The sequence below is a fragment of the Homo sapiens genome, chromosome 8 (genome assembly GCF_000001405.40).
Source record: "Homo sapiens chromosome 8, GRCh38.p14 Primary Assembly".
NCBI classification, from domain to species: domain Eukaryota; kingdom Metazoa; phylum Chordata; class Mammalia; order Primates; family Hominidae; genus Homo; species Homo sapiens.
In genome coordinates, this window is record NC_000008.11 from 57,943,748 (window position 1) to 57,958,983 (window position 15,236).

General features: G+C 39.7%; 1 long non-coding RNA gene across 1 annotated transcript in view; it reads left to right on the forward strand.

The window, feature by feature from the left end:
• Positions 1 to 14,767, forward strand: part of LOC105375856 (uncharacterized) — a 103,037-nt gene extending 88,270 nt beyond the window's left edge. The window contains exon 3 of the long non-coding RNA XR_928921.2: positions 14,529 to 14,767. This is a non-coding gene — a long non-coding RNA (uncharacterized LOC105375856). The remainder of the gene's footprint in view (positions 1 to 14,528) is intronic.
• Positions 14,768 to 15,236: the final 469 nt, after the last annotated feature.

Sequence of the window (15,236 nt, forward strand, 5' to 3'; positions counted from 1 at the left end):
TCCAGCAGAATGTAGCCACAATACGTAAATCTCACAAAAAAAAACCTGTATCCAGAATATATAAAGAACTCTTATAATTTAGTAATACAGAAACAGAGAATCTCAAAAAAAAGCGAAAAGTTTGAATGGGTTCATTACAAAAGAAGATATACTGATGTGCCAATAAGCACTTGAAAAAAGTGCTCAACGTCATTACTCATCAGGGAAATGTAAATTAAAGCTGCAGTGGGATATCACTATACATCTACTAGAATAGCTAAAATTAAAAAGATTGACAATACTGAGTGTTGACAAAGATGTGGAGTCATGAGGACTGTTATACCTTGCTGTTAGGACAATCAAAAGGTACGAACACTTTTTGGAAAACAGCTTGGCAGTTCTTTACAAAATTTGACATACACTCACCCTATGGCCCAGCAATTCAACTCCTAGGTATCCCCACTTCTTCACAAAAAATATATGTTCCAACAAAAATTTGAACTTGAATATTCAGCAGCTTATTCTTAATGGCCAAAAACAGACAAATGGATAAACAAATTATGGTATATTCATATGATGGAATGCTACACAACAATGAAAACAAATGAATTATTGATGCTTGCAAAAATGTGATGCAAGCTAAAATAATTATGGTGAGCAAAATAAGTCAGACACAAAAGGGTGTATGCTATATAATTCCATTTTGTGAAATTCTAGAAAAAGTGAAAACAATTTATAATAATGGGCAGCAGATCAGTGCAGTGCACACCTGAGGTTTGTGGTATTGGTGGGGATTGACAGAATATGGGCAAAAGTGAAACTTTGGGGGCAATGAAATATTCTAGACCTTAATAATGGTGGAGGTTACACGGTTGTATATACTTGTCAGAACACATCAAAATGCACACTCAAAGTGGGATATTTTATTGTGTCTAAATTCTATCTCAACAAAGTTGATTTCTTAAGAGTATACATAGAGAAATAGAAACATGAACCCAGAAGTACATAAATAAGGGTTGTTATGCCTAGATGATAGAACAATGAATAATTTTTTACTGTCTTTATTTTGCTCTTCTGTGTAATTTCATTTTTCCAAAATAATTATATGTAATGTTAGTAAAATAATTCCGAAGTAATTATATATAGTGTTAGTAAAAAAAAATTAAAATAAAAGTGACATTTCTTCGTTAAGAAAAAGTCATGTCAGGCCGGGCACGGTGGCTCACACCTATAATCCCCACACTTTGGGAGGCTGAGGCGGGTAGATCACCTGAGCTCAGGAGTTCGAGACCAGCCTGACCAACATGGAGAAACCATGTCTCTACTAAAAATACAAAATTAACTGGGCGTGGTGATGCATGCCTGTAATCCCAGCTACTCGGAAGGCTGAGGCAGGAGAATCACTTGAACCCAGGAGGCAGAGGTTGTGGTGAGCCCAGATCATGCCATTGCACTCCAGCCTGGGCAACAAGAATGAGACTCCATCTCTAAATAAATAAATAAATATAAAAAGTCATGTCAGGCTGGTGGTGGTGGCTCCTTCCTGTAGTCCCAGCACTTTAGGAGGCCCTTGGGCAGCTCACTTGAGGCCACGGGTTTGAGACCAGCCTGGCAAACACAGTGAAACCCTGTCTCTACTAAAAATACAAAAAGAAGTTGAGTGTGGTGGTGGGCACTTGTAATCCCAGCTACTTGGGAGGCTGAGGCAGCAGCAGCACTTGAACTCAGGAGGTGAAGTTTGCAATGAGGTGAGATCACACTACTGCACTCCAGCCTGGGTGACAGAGTGAGACTCCATCTCAAAAAAAAAAAAAGAAAACAAACGTCATGTCATTTTCATAATTTTCCCGTTTTCTCATGGGTTCAAGGACAGGCTTATTTACCTCTTAATCACCTACCAAACCCAGTACCCCCAATAGTATTTGGTGAATTGAATAGAAATGTTACATTTGCTCTGGTTATTATTCCCACGTAGACAGCCTAAACTGCTTTCCCTTAATAATAATTTAGGTCTCAATTTCATTCAGTTCTGCTCTGATTTTAGTTATTTTTTTTCTTCTGCTAGCTTTCAGGTGAGTTTGTTCTTGTTTTTCTAGTTCCTCTAGCTATGATATTAGATCATTAATTTGAGATCTTTCTAACTTTTTGAGGTAGACATTTAATGCTCTAAACTTTGCTCTTAACACTGCTTTTGGGGCATCCCAGAGACTTCGGTATGTTGTGTCTCTGGATTTATTTCAAATAATTTTTTATTTCTCCCTTAATTTCATTGTTTATCCAAAAGACATTTAGAAGCAAGTTAATTTCCATGTAACTGTGTGGTTTTGAGAAATCTTCTGGTATTGACATCTACTTTTATTCCACGTGGTCTGCAATTATGGGTGGTATGATTTTGATTTTTATGAATGTATTGGGACTCCTTATGGCTGAGCATGTGGTTGATCTTGGAGTATGTTTTATGTGCAGTTGAGAAGAATGTGTATTCTGTGGTTGATGGGTAGAGTATTCTGCAGATGTCTATTAGGTCCAATTGGTCAAGAATTGAATTTATGTCCAGAATTTCTTTGATAGTTTTCTGCCTCTATGATCTGTATAATGCTGTCAGTGGGGTATTGAAGTCCTCTACTATTATTGTGTGGCTGTCTAGTCTTTTTTAGGCCTGAAAGTAGTTGTTTTATGAATCTGAGTGCTCCAATGTTGGGTGTGTATGTATTTAGAATAGTTTAGTCTTCTTGTTGAATTGAGCCCTTTGTCATTATGTAATGCCCTTCTTTGTCCTTTTTTACTATTGTTGGCTTAAAGTCTGTTTTATGTGATGTAAGAATAGTGAACCCTACTCTTTTTAGCTCCATTTGCATGATAGATCTTTCTCCAACCCTTTACTTCGAGCCTATGGGTGTAAGATGCGTCTCTTGAGGATAACAAACAGATCTGTGCCTTTTGTTGGCATTTAGACCATTTACAGTCCAGGTTAACATTGATATGGGAGGTTTTGATTCCATGGTGAAGCTGTTGGCTGCTTGCTTTGTAGTTCCTATTGTGTGATTGCTTTACAGGCTCCAGGGGCTATGTACTTATGTGCATTTTTATGGTAACAGGTATCGTTCTTTTGATTCCATGTTTTGAATTCCCTTAAGCATCTCTTGTAAGGCTGGTCTGGTTGTAATAAAGTCTCTTAGTGATTTCTTGTCAGGAAAATATTTTATTTATCTACTTATGAAGCTTAGTTTGGCATGATATAAAATTCTTGGTTGAAATTTATTTTCTTTTAGATTGCTGAAAATAGGCGCCCAAGGTCTCCTGGCTTGTACGGTTTCTGCTGAAAAGTACTCTGTTAGCCTCCTAGAGTTCCCTTTGAACATAATCTGACCTTTTTTTCTAGCTACCTTTAAGGGTTTTTTTGTTTTTTTGTTTGTGTGTGTGTGTGTATGTGTGTGTTGACCTTGGACAGTCTGGTGACTACATACCTTGGTGATGTTCATTTGTATAGTATCTCATGGGTGTTTTCTGGTTTCTTGTATCTGGATGTCTACCTCTAGCAAGATTCGGGAAATTTTCTTGAATTATTCCCACAAATATGTTTCCAGGTTGTTTACATTTTCTCTTTCTCTCCAAGAATGCCAATAATTCATAGGTTTGATTGCTTTACATAATCCCATATTTCTCAAGACTTTATTTTAAAAAATTATTATTATTATTATTATTATTTGTTGTTGTTGTTGGACTGGGTTAGTTTGAAGGTCTGGTGTTCCATCTCTGAAACACTTTCTTTTGCTTATTCTAGTCTACTGATAAAGCTTTCAATTGTATTCTGAAATTCCTTAAGTGAGTTTTTCAATTCCAGAAGCCCTGACTGATTTCTTCCTTCACTTCCTGAATTGCTTTAGAAGTTTCTTTGTGTTGATTTCAACCTTGTCTTGGAGCTTGTTGAGCTTCCTTGCAATCCGTGCTTTGAATTCTTTATCTGTCACTTCTGAGTTTCCATTTTGTTTAGAGACCATTGCTGGAGAACTAGTGTGATCCTTCAATGGTGTCACTACATTCATATTTTTTATGGTGCCAGAATTCTTGTGCTGGTTCTTTTTTATCTGGAGATGCTGGCAGTTCGAGTTTTTGTAATTATTTTTCTACTGGTAGGATTTTTTCTCCTTATTTCTTTCCTTATTATATTATTGGGATTTTTTCTTTCCCTTTCCTTTTCCCCACCTCCCTAGGGGGTGGAACTGTAAAGAATGTTGGGTAGGGTCTTTTGGCTTTGCTTCTCTAGCCCTATGCACTTCTTTTGGCATGTTTCATACTGGGATGTGTGATTTGGCCTACAGGCTAGTAGATGACACTTACGGGTAGGAGTTGGCTGTGGCCAATGTCGCTGGGTGTATACTTGATCCTTGTTTACTGGGAGAAGCTTTCTGTTGCCTTGGGCAATGGGCTGATCCAAGGAATGCACAGCAGTCTGAGCTCCCTGCTCAGCTCCAGAGGGAGAGGGAGGGAAGACGAGTGAGGAGGCCCACCTACAGGTCCCCCAGTGGCAGGTACAAGCATGAGTATGGAAGAAGAATCCAGTGGGAAGCCACCTAGCACCCAGAAGTATACCTAAGCCTGGAAATGGAAAACCTCCATGGCCCCAAAGAGGCAGGGGTGGAGGTGGGGCCTAAACTCCTAATCCAGGAGAGTGAATGTTCCAGATGCCTGAAGATCTGCCTGGCCATGGGGAGGAAAAGGCCCTGCTGTATCACAGTGTCTGAACAAGAAAGGTGGGGTGGCTCAGGCTGCTGAACCAGGCAAGTGGGTGTTCCAAATGTCTGGGGATCTGCCTGGGCATGGAGCAGAGAGGGCCCCCCTCCACCAGGATCTCTGCACAGCAAGACTGAGGCAGCTCAGGCTGCTGAACCAGGCAAGCAGATGCTCCAAATGCCCAGAGATCTGTTTAGGTGATGGGATCATTCATACTCCAAACCTCAGCATCACACAATATACCCATGTAACAAACCTGCACACATGCCCCCTGAATCTAAAATACAAATTGAAAATATAAAAATAAAAGAATTTAGAACCTTCTCAATCCATGCTCTTACTCTGGGCCTCCCCTGTTTTCCTCCACAGTCACCAAGCTTCATAGTTCTGCCAGATGTGTTCATAGAAAACTAGAGCTGGACCGTCATTAAACCAGTAAAAAAGGATTTTATTCAGGGACTGTCATTACAAGGGAAAAGAGGCTTCTGTAAAGAACAGGGCTCAATTCTGAATACAACAAGGAAAAGTGCAATTTATAGCCGAGGAGCAGGGTGGGGGTCAGTAAACAGAAAATTACTAAGAAGGGCCGGGCACAAAGGCTCATGCCTGTAATCCCAACACTTTGGGAGGCCGAAAGTGGGTGGATCAACTGAGGTCAGGAGTTTAAGACCGGCCTGGACAACATGGTAAAACCTCGTCTCCACTAAAAATACAAAAAATTAGCCGGGCGTGGTGGCACATGCCTGTAATCCCAGCGACTCGGGAGTCTTAGGCAGGAAAAATCACTTGAACCCAGGAGGCAGAGGTTACAGTGAGCCAAGATCATGCCATTGCACTCTAGCTTGGGCAACAAGAGTGAAACTCCGTCTAAAAAAGAAAGAAAGAAAGAAAGAAAGAAAGAAAGAAAGAAAGAGAAAAGAAGAAAATTACTAAGAAGGAACATCAGGATGAGGAGAATTCTAGCTAAACTGACTTGACAGGATTCCTGCTGAAGGCAGGCCAGCCTGTTATCACCTGGGGAACGGAGGGGGCTGGGGTATTTGATCAGATAGCAAGGGTGGAGCATTCTCACTAAATGGACTTAGCAGGAATCTTGCTCCTGAGGACAAGGCCTAAGGAGGGAGCCAAGACAAAAAAAAAAAAAAAAATGCTTGAGGAGCCTGACTAAAGTGTGATTATGGAAAGTCTTTGTCAGGCGTCTTTTCTCATTCAACATCAGATTTCAGGTGCCTGCCTATGGATGACAACTTTTTCTCCCAGGGCCTGGATGTGTTCCTCGATGGTGAAAGAACACATCCTTCTTTAGAAGGGACTTATACAGACTCCTGGGAAGAGCAAAGGGAGTGCACCCTTTGTGCAGTTTTCTCCTCCTATTCCCTTCACTCCTTGCAATATTTCCCCCCCCTTTGGCTGGGTTCTACCACCATTTTTTGATCACAGGAGGAATTCTTTCACTTGCCTAGAAAGATGATACAGAAGACTTACTTGGTTCTTCTCACTTTTTCCTTCCTCCTGTAGGCAAAGAAGTTTGCATTTGCATCACAGGCCTTTGGTGAGTGCCTACACCAAGAAAAATTTTAAAAAGTATCTAGTCTATCTTACAAGCATAGGAGGCTCTTTCTGACAGGGGCCATCCCTGGTAAATTGTATCATGGACAATGGGTGTGTTCTCAGCAGAGGGAGCAAGCCTCTAACACACTGGGAAATGGGAAGCAAGTCAGACAAAAAGCAGTTGCAAAGGTTTCCTAAATGTCTTACCCTGTTGCTTCACAGTGCCTCCTCCAGTGTTATTTGTTATCACAGTGTGTTAGACTGCTCTCACATTCCTATAAAGAAATACCTAGGACTGGGTAATTTATGAAGAAAAGAGGTTTAATTGGCTCATGGTTCTGCAGGCCGCTCTTCAGGAAGCATAGCAGCTTCTGCTTCTGGGGAGGCCTCAGAAAACTTTCAATCATGGTGGAAGGCAGAGGGGAAGCAGGCATGTCTCACATGGCTGGAGTAAGAGCAAGAGAGAGAGCGGGGAGGTGCCACACACTTTTAAACAACCAGATCTCGTGAGAACTCTATCATGAGACAGCACTGAGGGGATGGTGCTGAACCGTTCATGAAGGATCCACCCCCATGATCGCATCACCTTTCACCAGGCCCCACTGCCAACATGCGGGATTACAATTCAACATGAAATTTGCGTGGGGACAACAGATCCAACTCATATCACATAGCCTTTCAATAGACCACTTCAAAGAACTGCTGAAACAATGGCACTTTTAAAGAATGTGGTCAGAGGAATTACACTCCAGCCTAGCCATGTTCCTAGGATGAATCAGGGGAATGCCACAGGAGCTGTGGGGTGGTGAACAGGAGGGGACATCATCCCAGTGGTACTGAGCTGCTGGTGCAGACAGGACTGAAAGCTGTGACTACAGAAACTACAGTTCAGGGCTAAAGAAACTCTTGTCCAGGTGTACAGAAGTTTCCAAGGCACGTATATAACAGGTGAGGTGTAGTTACCTATATTTTGTGTCTCTTCCAATACCATGCACTGCCTTCTTGATATTCAGTATGTACTGGTGTGTAGAAGAAGATAAGAAAATACAGTCATCTCTATAGGACTCATATAACAGCATATAGAACAGTTGCTAAATAATTTTCAATTGCTTTAGTTCTTATGGAAAAGGATAAACCTAAACTTAATTCTAATGGGTAAATCTGTGGTATTTGACATGCTCCAGGCCTAGCTAGGTTACTGCCATACTCCATGTCAAAGAAGAGCGTTTATAACTGATGAAATGGGTCTTTGAGTGGTGGAAAAATCAACCCTTTAATCCTGTGGTAAGTGTTTTCCATAAATGAGTGTTTAGGGCTGCACAAAACATTGATAGGAGAGAGACACAGCACAGTCAACGGATCATGACAAATTTGAATAAAAATGACTGGATAATGAAACCTCCCCTCTTTTCCTTTGTATTTCTTATTACATTTAAAGAAACAGTTTTTTAACATGCCCTGTCTATTCTCAGTATAACATGCAATACACAGGAACATTCAACTTAAACAGTTGCTGATTAGAGCACTCTTTGAGACTTTATTGTGTGGTCTCTTCCCTTTCAGCTCAATGTTTTTCTGCATAAGTGGCAGGTGCAAGTTTAATTAAGTGTGATCAATGAGATTACCATTTGCAAGTTCTTAGGTATAAGATTAAAGAATATATTCACTCATATGAAAACTGTAATTTTGCCTGCAATATATGGCTTTAGCAATTAAACAAAATATTTTTCAGTCTAGAATATTAGTTACATGAGGACACGAAATCCATTTATTCTAAAAAGAAGAGCAATATAGAATCATATAAATTTAAAAATCTAAAAAACATTAAATTAACTGTTGCTTATACAAAAGGTTTGCTTAGTATTTCGGTAAGTCAGGCTCACCTTAGCATTAGCTCTCAAGACAGATTAGAATCATTACATGGGCCAGGCGCGGTGGCTCACGCCTGTAATTGCAGCATTTTGGGAGGCCAAGGCAGGTGGATCACCGGGGTCAGGAGTTCAAGACCAGCCTGGCCAATATGGCGAAACCCTGTCTCTACTAAAAATCCAAAAAAATTAGCTGGGCATGGTGGCAGTCGCCTGTAATCCCAGCTAGTCGGGAGGCTGAGGCAGGAGAATCACTTGAAACCACGAGGCAGAGGTTGCAGTGAACTAAGATTGCACCATTGCACTCCAGCCTGGGCAACAAGAGTGAGACTCCATCTCAATAAAAAGAAAAAGAATGTCATTATGTGAAAAAATATATATATATATGTATAATTTGCTCACCTAAACCTATTTATTTTGGAGGTGGTAAATACAGTAAGGTGGTCTTCAGCAGCCTTCCCTAAGAAATAAAAATAAATGTGTGCTTTTTAAATATTATAATTCATGTATTTCTGAAATTACTAAAGAATATTTGAATTTGTTCATTAAACTAATGAATAAATAGATTTGATATGTTGACAACTTAAATGTGTAATTTTCATTTTCATCAAATTTATGAGTCCTCATTCTGAGTGTATAGTAAGTAACTATTCTGGGATTGATTGGCACTTTGGGAAGGGGAAAATAGGATAAGGCTAGAGAACCTTGAGACTATCGTGACAATTTGTTATCTCTGCCCAGAAAAAGCTGTCATCAATGGTCTATTGCCTGAATATAACAGTCTGTTACCAAGAAGGGCCTGTCCAGCTCTAGGATTCTGGAAAATTCAGTTAAATTATACTTATTGGTGGAACAGAACAGCTACCCTGAATGCTCTGTGTTGTTCTCTATAGTTCATACTCGCCTATCTGTTGGGATTTTAGGTAGCACAGTAACCATCACCACTGTGATCTCTACTGAGGATCTGAACAATTGAGAATTAAGACAATGAAATTAGGGAGATGAAGACTAAGGCACAAGTGTTATCATGTGGCTCATATCCTCAGGCAAATGTGCTTCTTAATACTGAGCCTAAGATGTCATCCAGGGCAGCTGGTGACAAGGCACAGGTTGGGAACAGAGAAGACCTGGCCTTCCTATTCTTCTCTCCCTCACAAAGTCTGTGCCTGTATGGGAAGTCCTGGGAATGCTTATTCCTTATAAGTAACTCATCTTAAATGGAAGTATCTGGGCTAATGTGCTCAGACTCTCCTTCCAAAATCATCAGATAGGTCATTGCATATTTCTAGAGATGGAATGATTAAGATACACAGAGACAAAGTGATGTTTTTCCAGAGGGAAGGATACATTAGGATGGATTCACCCCCTCATAGTGTCCTTGGGAAGGCTATAGTCAAGAGTGTCCTATATAAAGAGTTGAGGGTCTGTGACGGTCCCATTTTCATTGTATAATCCAAGGAAGGCAAGATGGTTTCATCCTGCATGATAAATGCAATTTCTGTGGAAGTCTTCCTGGAGCACTAGTTGGTCAGGATGGTGAGCCATGGATCACAATGGATTGGTAAGATCCACCATAGTGAGGCAGAGAGGTTGAGTAAGCCAGCACGTGCTGCCAATTTCCCATCACAAGCCCTGGGCCTTACAACTAGGGGTCTGTGAAGTCAGGAACCATCTAAGGAAATGAGGGGAAGATGCATAATGTGGACTCCAAATCCTGCTCTTGTGAAGGCTCTCCAGAAAGTGCTTTTATCATGTTTCTCCCCACTCAAACAAGCGTGAAAAGGCATCCCCATTACCTCCTTGGTAAGGGTCAAGTGCAGCTTCTACACTAGCATTTCCCCCACCTTCCTGTCATGATTCTGCTGCACCAGTTTGCATGGGCTCTGTTTCCTCTCCCATAAAATAAACTAGCCAACCTCTGCAGAACCGCCCAGCTCTCACAGAAGCTGTGTCTTACCTGGAGGCAGGGTTAGAAATCAAGCAACATGTGAATCCTTTGAAGTTGGTTGCATGCATGTACATTTTTCTTGAGAGAGGGTTTGTGGCTTTCATTAGACTTTTCAAAAGATCTGTGCCTCAAAAGGAAAACAACCCTGCTCATCACAGTCTCTGGCTCAGATCATGGGACTGATCCTGGTGCGTGGCACAATATGCTTTCCCAAAACACCCTCTATGTCAAATACTTTCATCTGGACCACTGGCCCAGATGGAAACGTGTCAAAGCTTCTGCCTTTCATCACAAAAGCACAGAGATATTCTACATGTTCTGTTCACTTGTGGTGTCCCTCTACCTTGCTCAGCTGCAATCCTAGCTTCACTTCTCATCACCTCTCACTGCCACAGGATGGGCCTGACTCTCTTCTCACACCCCTACAATCACCACCAATCCCACAGCTCAGCTTTTAGTAATTTCCAGTGGCCCTGCTTGTTGAATTTCTTAGTCAACCCAGGTGAGCCCTTTTCCCAGTAGCGACCAGGGTGAGTTCTGGTGGTAGTGAATTTCCTCTAGAAGTGTAAGTGCTGGACGTATGATAGCCACTTTGGCTAAGGCAGGGTCCACTTCAAGTTCATAACACCTTCTAGTAGGTCAGAAATACCTGCTTGTTTGTGGATTCAATTTTTGACACAGGCAAGACAGTAAACTACAGTTCATCCAGGCTTTCCATCTATATGGGAACTATGAAAAATTCCTAGACTGGTCCTATACTGGGCTGCTTTCTCTAAACGTCTCTTCAAAACTTGGTCTATAAAAGTGTAGCCAACTTACTGGAGAGAGCTTAAATCTGCACTTTTCTCCTCATCAGTTTCTACAATTCCCTATTTCCCACTGAGCTGTAAAGATTACTGGAAGAACTCTTACTATAACATTTTGCACTTCTTTGTGTATAATCCCAACTCATAAATGGAACTGTCTGTGGGGAAATCTAAAAACAAAGGAAAACAAGACAAAAAGAAGCATGTTCTTAGATTTTCAAGTGATGAACTCAAAACCTTAGGAACTTTTTATTCCACCATTTTAAAAGTACTTAATTCTGGAAAAAAAAAATAATTGAGGAAATGTTCAATTCCATTTGAATTTAAGAGACATATTGGAAGGACAAGGACATGATGGGACATAAATGTGATATTTTATTCAAACCATTTTCGCAGGTTCTCCGAATCTCTCCTTCCTCTTACTTCTTCACTTAACATGAAATTTTCATTTAGAGTCAAATCTTAGTTTATAAGGAGCACATGCTGAAACTGCAATTCGTGGTTTTCTTCTCTATTTCCCTATCCTCTATCTTTTCTTTCCTCTTGTTCTTTGGTTCCTCTTCTGACTAACTCACCGGATGTCTAAATTATTTTGTTTTTATTGAATTTTATTTATTTATTATTTATTTTGAGACAAGGACTCACTCTGTCACCTAGGCTGGAGTGCAGTGGCACTATTATATCATAGCTCACTGCAGCCTCAATATCCTGGGGTCAAGCCATCCTCCTGCCTCAGCCCCCGAAGAGCTGGGACTATAGGCATGTGCCATCACACCTGGCTAATGTTTTATTATTACTATTATTATTTGTAGAGATGGCATCTCGCTATGTTGCCCAGGCTGGTCTTGAACTCCTGGGCTCAGGTGATCCTCCTGCCTTGGCCTCTCAAAGTGCTGGGATTACAGGTGTGAGTGTCCACCGTCAGCCTAATTATTTAGTTATTAAATTGTTTAGTCATTATTATTTTTACTCAGTGTCTAGAAGATTTTTAAATTTTTTTATTATTATATATTATAATTATATTATAAACCCTAGAGGGGTTTCCCAAGCTTCCTTTCGCCACAGCCAAGAGAAAACACATTGGCTATGCTGCACCCACCTCATGGCACCCACCTCATGGACAGGGAGAGAACTGCTCCCATACACTTTCCAGAAAACAAGGCTGCTGCCTAAGCTGATTCTGATAACGGTACCAGGAACTTGCTTTCAGCTAAATGTAGGAGAGACGAACTCAATCTTCTCGCCAAACACAGCTGGTAGTTGCTCTGCACTCAGAATAACCCCCCAACACACATCCCACCCCACTCCATGCACACACCTATCCCTGGCCAAACCCCACTTGGACTTGTAATTTAGGACTTGGAAAGTTCTGAGGGAGTATCCTCTACCCTACATCCTTAGGAATGCGTCTAGTAATAGCTTCCTCACCCTAAGCAAGCGAGTCAGGCATAGTTGAACTTGGAAAATTTTCAAATCACAACATTCTTACTCTAAGCTGAAGTCTTTAATATCTCATTTCAATCAAATTCATGAATTTTGCCTTACAGAAGTGATAAATTATCTTGTCTCCAAGTCATGCCATGTAAAAAATTATCTGAATTTCTTAACTGGATAAAATAGGTAATAAATTAATATGCTTGCTTACCAAGTTTATGTCAATTTGTTTAATTAGGCTAATAATTGCCATTCACTAGAAATGTTGGTAGGTTAAGCAAATTATCCTCTTCTGTTTTCATTTCAGTGGTTTAGTAGAAAAGGAAAATCCGTTGAGAGGTCTTAAATTACACTCAAATAACAGAAAAAAAAATTCAAGGGATTTCAGAGTAGAAATGTTATTGTACATTCTTAGCTAAAAAGAATCCACTTATGAAAATATTTTTAGTGGTCTATGAAGCATCATTAAGTTTAAAAGTATACTCTTGGATAAAGTTGAAGTATCATATTGCAATGCACAACTCATTTATATGATTGTTATTGCACTGATTTTCAATTCAATACTTCTACATAAAGAGAAAGAAGTTTCTTAGTTATAAGACATTCTTAAAGCTTAATCTCTATTTTCATGTCTGCATAACATTTCCAAACCCACTTAATGTAGATAATGACAAAGTAAAGTTAGTCATGAAACTTCCCATTACAAACTGCATTTTGTGGTGAGAATGAAGTTTTAAATTCTTTTCCACAGTTACTTTTCTCAGATACTGAATTTGATGCATTTAAAGATGATGCGATTTTCAAAATGGATGCCAAGTGTGACCAATATTTAGCCAAATGACATCTTTCAACCTAAAGAAGCATTTACATAAAGGGGCTTATAATATAAGAATGTGTCCTTAGTGCCATGTTATGACAGGAAAAGTGTAAACATGTTCTGCAGATGTCAGCTTGAACTTACAAGCTTAGTCCTTCCCAGGCTACATTGTGCAGCACCATTTAATTCTGGAGCTTCTTTGGTTCACCTATCTGTAGCTAAAGTTCAGCTATAGCTATGAGAAGAGTGCTTTTAAAGTGTCCCATTTCAGAACTGTCTCTAGGAAACAGGGAAATGGTGAATAATTTCCAAGTGGGTTGATTAGATATGGATTTCACTATGTTCACAATTTAGACACAATTTAGAGTGTTCTCCAAATAGCTTATTGCAACTCCATTGCTATGCAGGTCCAATATTGCTAGGTAAAATCAAAGGATAACAGTAGATTCAAGCATGCAACTGGGCATAATCTATTCTTCTCATTTACAAACTGAGAAACAAAATGTAACCTGGTTTTCTGAGTTGTTATTATTAGATGTTGATTCTTTAATAGTGTACTCGGTGGTTTCTTAATATCCTGATAAACTTACTGCACTTAAAGCAAAGATTGTATTGGCACATGAGTTTGCTATGCAAATCTGTAAAAGCTGCTGAGGTTAATAAGTTTCAAGGTTAGCACACTCATAAACCTCGCTCTGCTCAATCATATCAGCATCAAGGACCTGGTATTGAAAAGCCTTGTATTTTAAAATAATAGGCCTTAAGGACTTCGTGTTTAAAGCCCTATCAGTGACTATCAGATCAGAATAAACGAGCTGTACTCTTGGATGGATCAGAATGCTGAGCATGGTGATGCAGCCCGCTTCAGTGTGGGAGCCACAGAATGCTTTTTCTCCTCTGATAGAGCTAGTCACAATCTTTCCACTTGCTTTAGAACATATCAAAACTCTGTTCATTTAACCAACGTGATAGATATAAGATCTGCTCACACATTGTTTGGTGAGACCAATTTCCAGACCTCCAAATGCACGTCTTTCTTGTTCCACAAGTGGAATTAATTTAGTTTCGTCTTTTACTTGCTTTTGTATTCTTATTAGCATTTGTTCTATGAAATGTATTTTTCTGGTCCGTATTTGATGTGCTTGTATTACTATGTGGACAAAAATCTTGGAACATGAAGATCCTTTTGCTATCAAGCAAGCCAGTCTGAACTATTAAATCTCTCTGAATCATTGCTCAAAAATAAATGAAAGTTAGTGTTCACAGATCTGTTATTATGACCAAATGAATTAAAAAGAAGAAGCACTTTGTACAGTAAAGTAGTTACAAATGTTATTATTATTACAGTGTGTCAATGCATTTACTGTATTTTTCTTTCAATTATCTCACAGAATGAAAACTAATGCTGCAGCAATGGAGATTGTGAAAATACAAATTTAAAAATGCATACCTAAAGGAAAATCAAGAAAAAAAGGAAAATTAAGCATTAAATGGAACTCTGAGTAGTTACTAAAAGTAAGAAAAGGCAAAACAAAATACCACCAGACTCTCTCCATTACTACTTCCAACTACTGTTTCCCTATTGACACATAATCTCTCATCTGGAGTTCTGTTTGTGTTATAATAATGAATCCAAAACATAAGCAGTTTATTTCTCAATAGCTATATTAACAAAGGTGTATTTATTAATCATTTGTAATAAAAATGAATGTACACCAAGTGGTAGTATTTTAGAGCTTATTCTCAATTATAAAAATAATTAAGTTGCCTTATAAATGAAATGTAGAAAAAATATTTTAAAAGAGTATTTGAAAAATAAAAAAGCTATGTAATCCCAGCACTTTGGGAGGCCGAGGCGGGCGGATCACGAGGTCAGGAGATCGAGACCATCCTGGCTAACACGGTGAAACCCCGTCTCTACTAAAAATACAAAAAAATTAGCCAGGCGTGATGACGGGCGCCTGTAGTCCCAGCTACTCGGGAGGCTGAGGCAGGAGAATGGCGTGAACCCGGGAGGCGGAGCTTGCAGTGAGCCAAGATTGCGCCACTGCACTCCAGCCTGGGCCACAGAGCGAGACTCCGTCTCAAAAAAAAAAAAA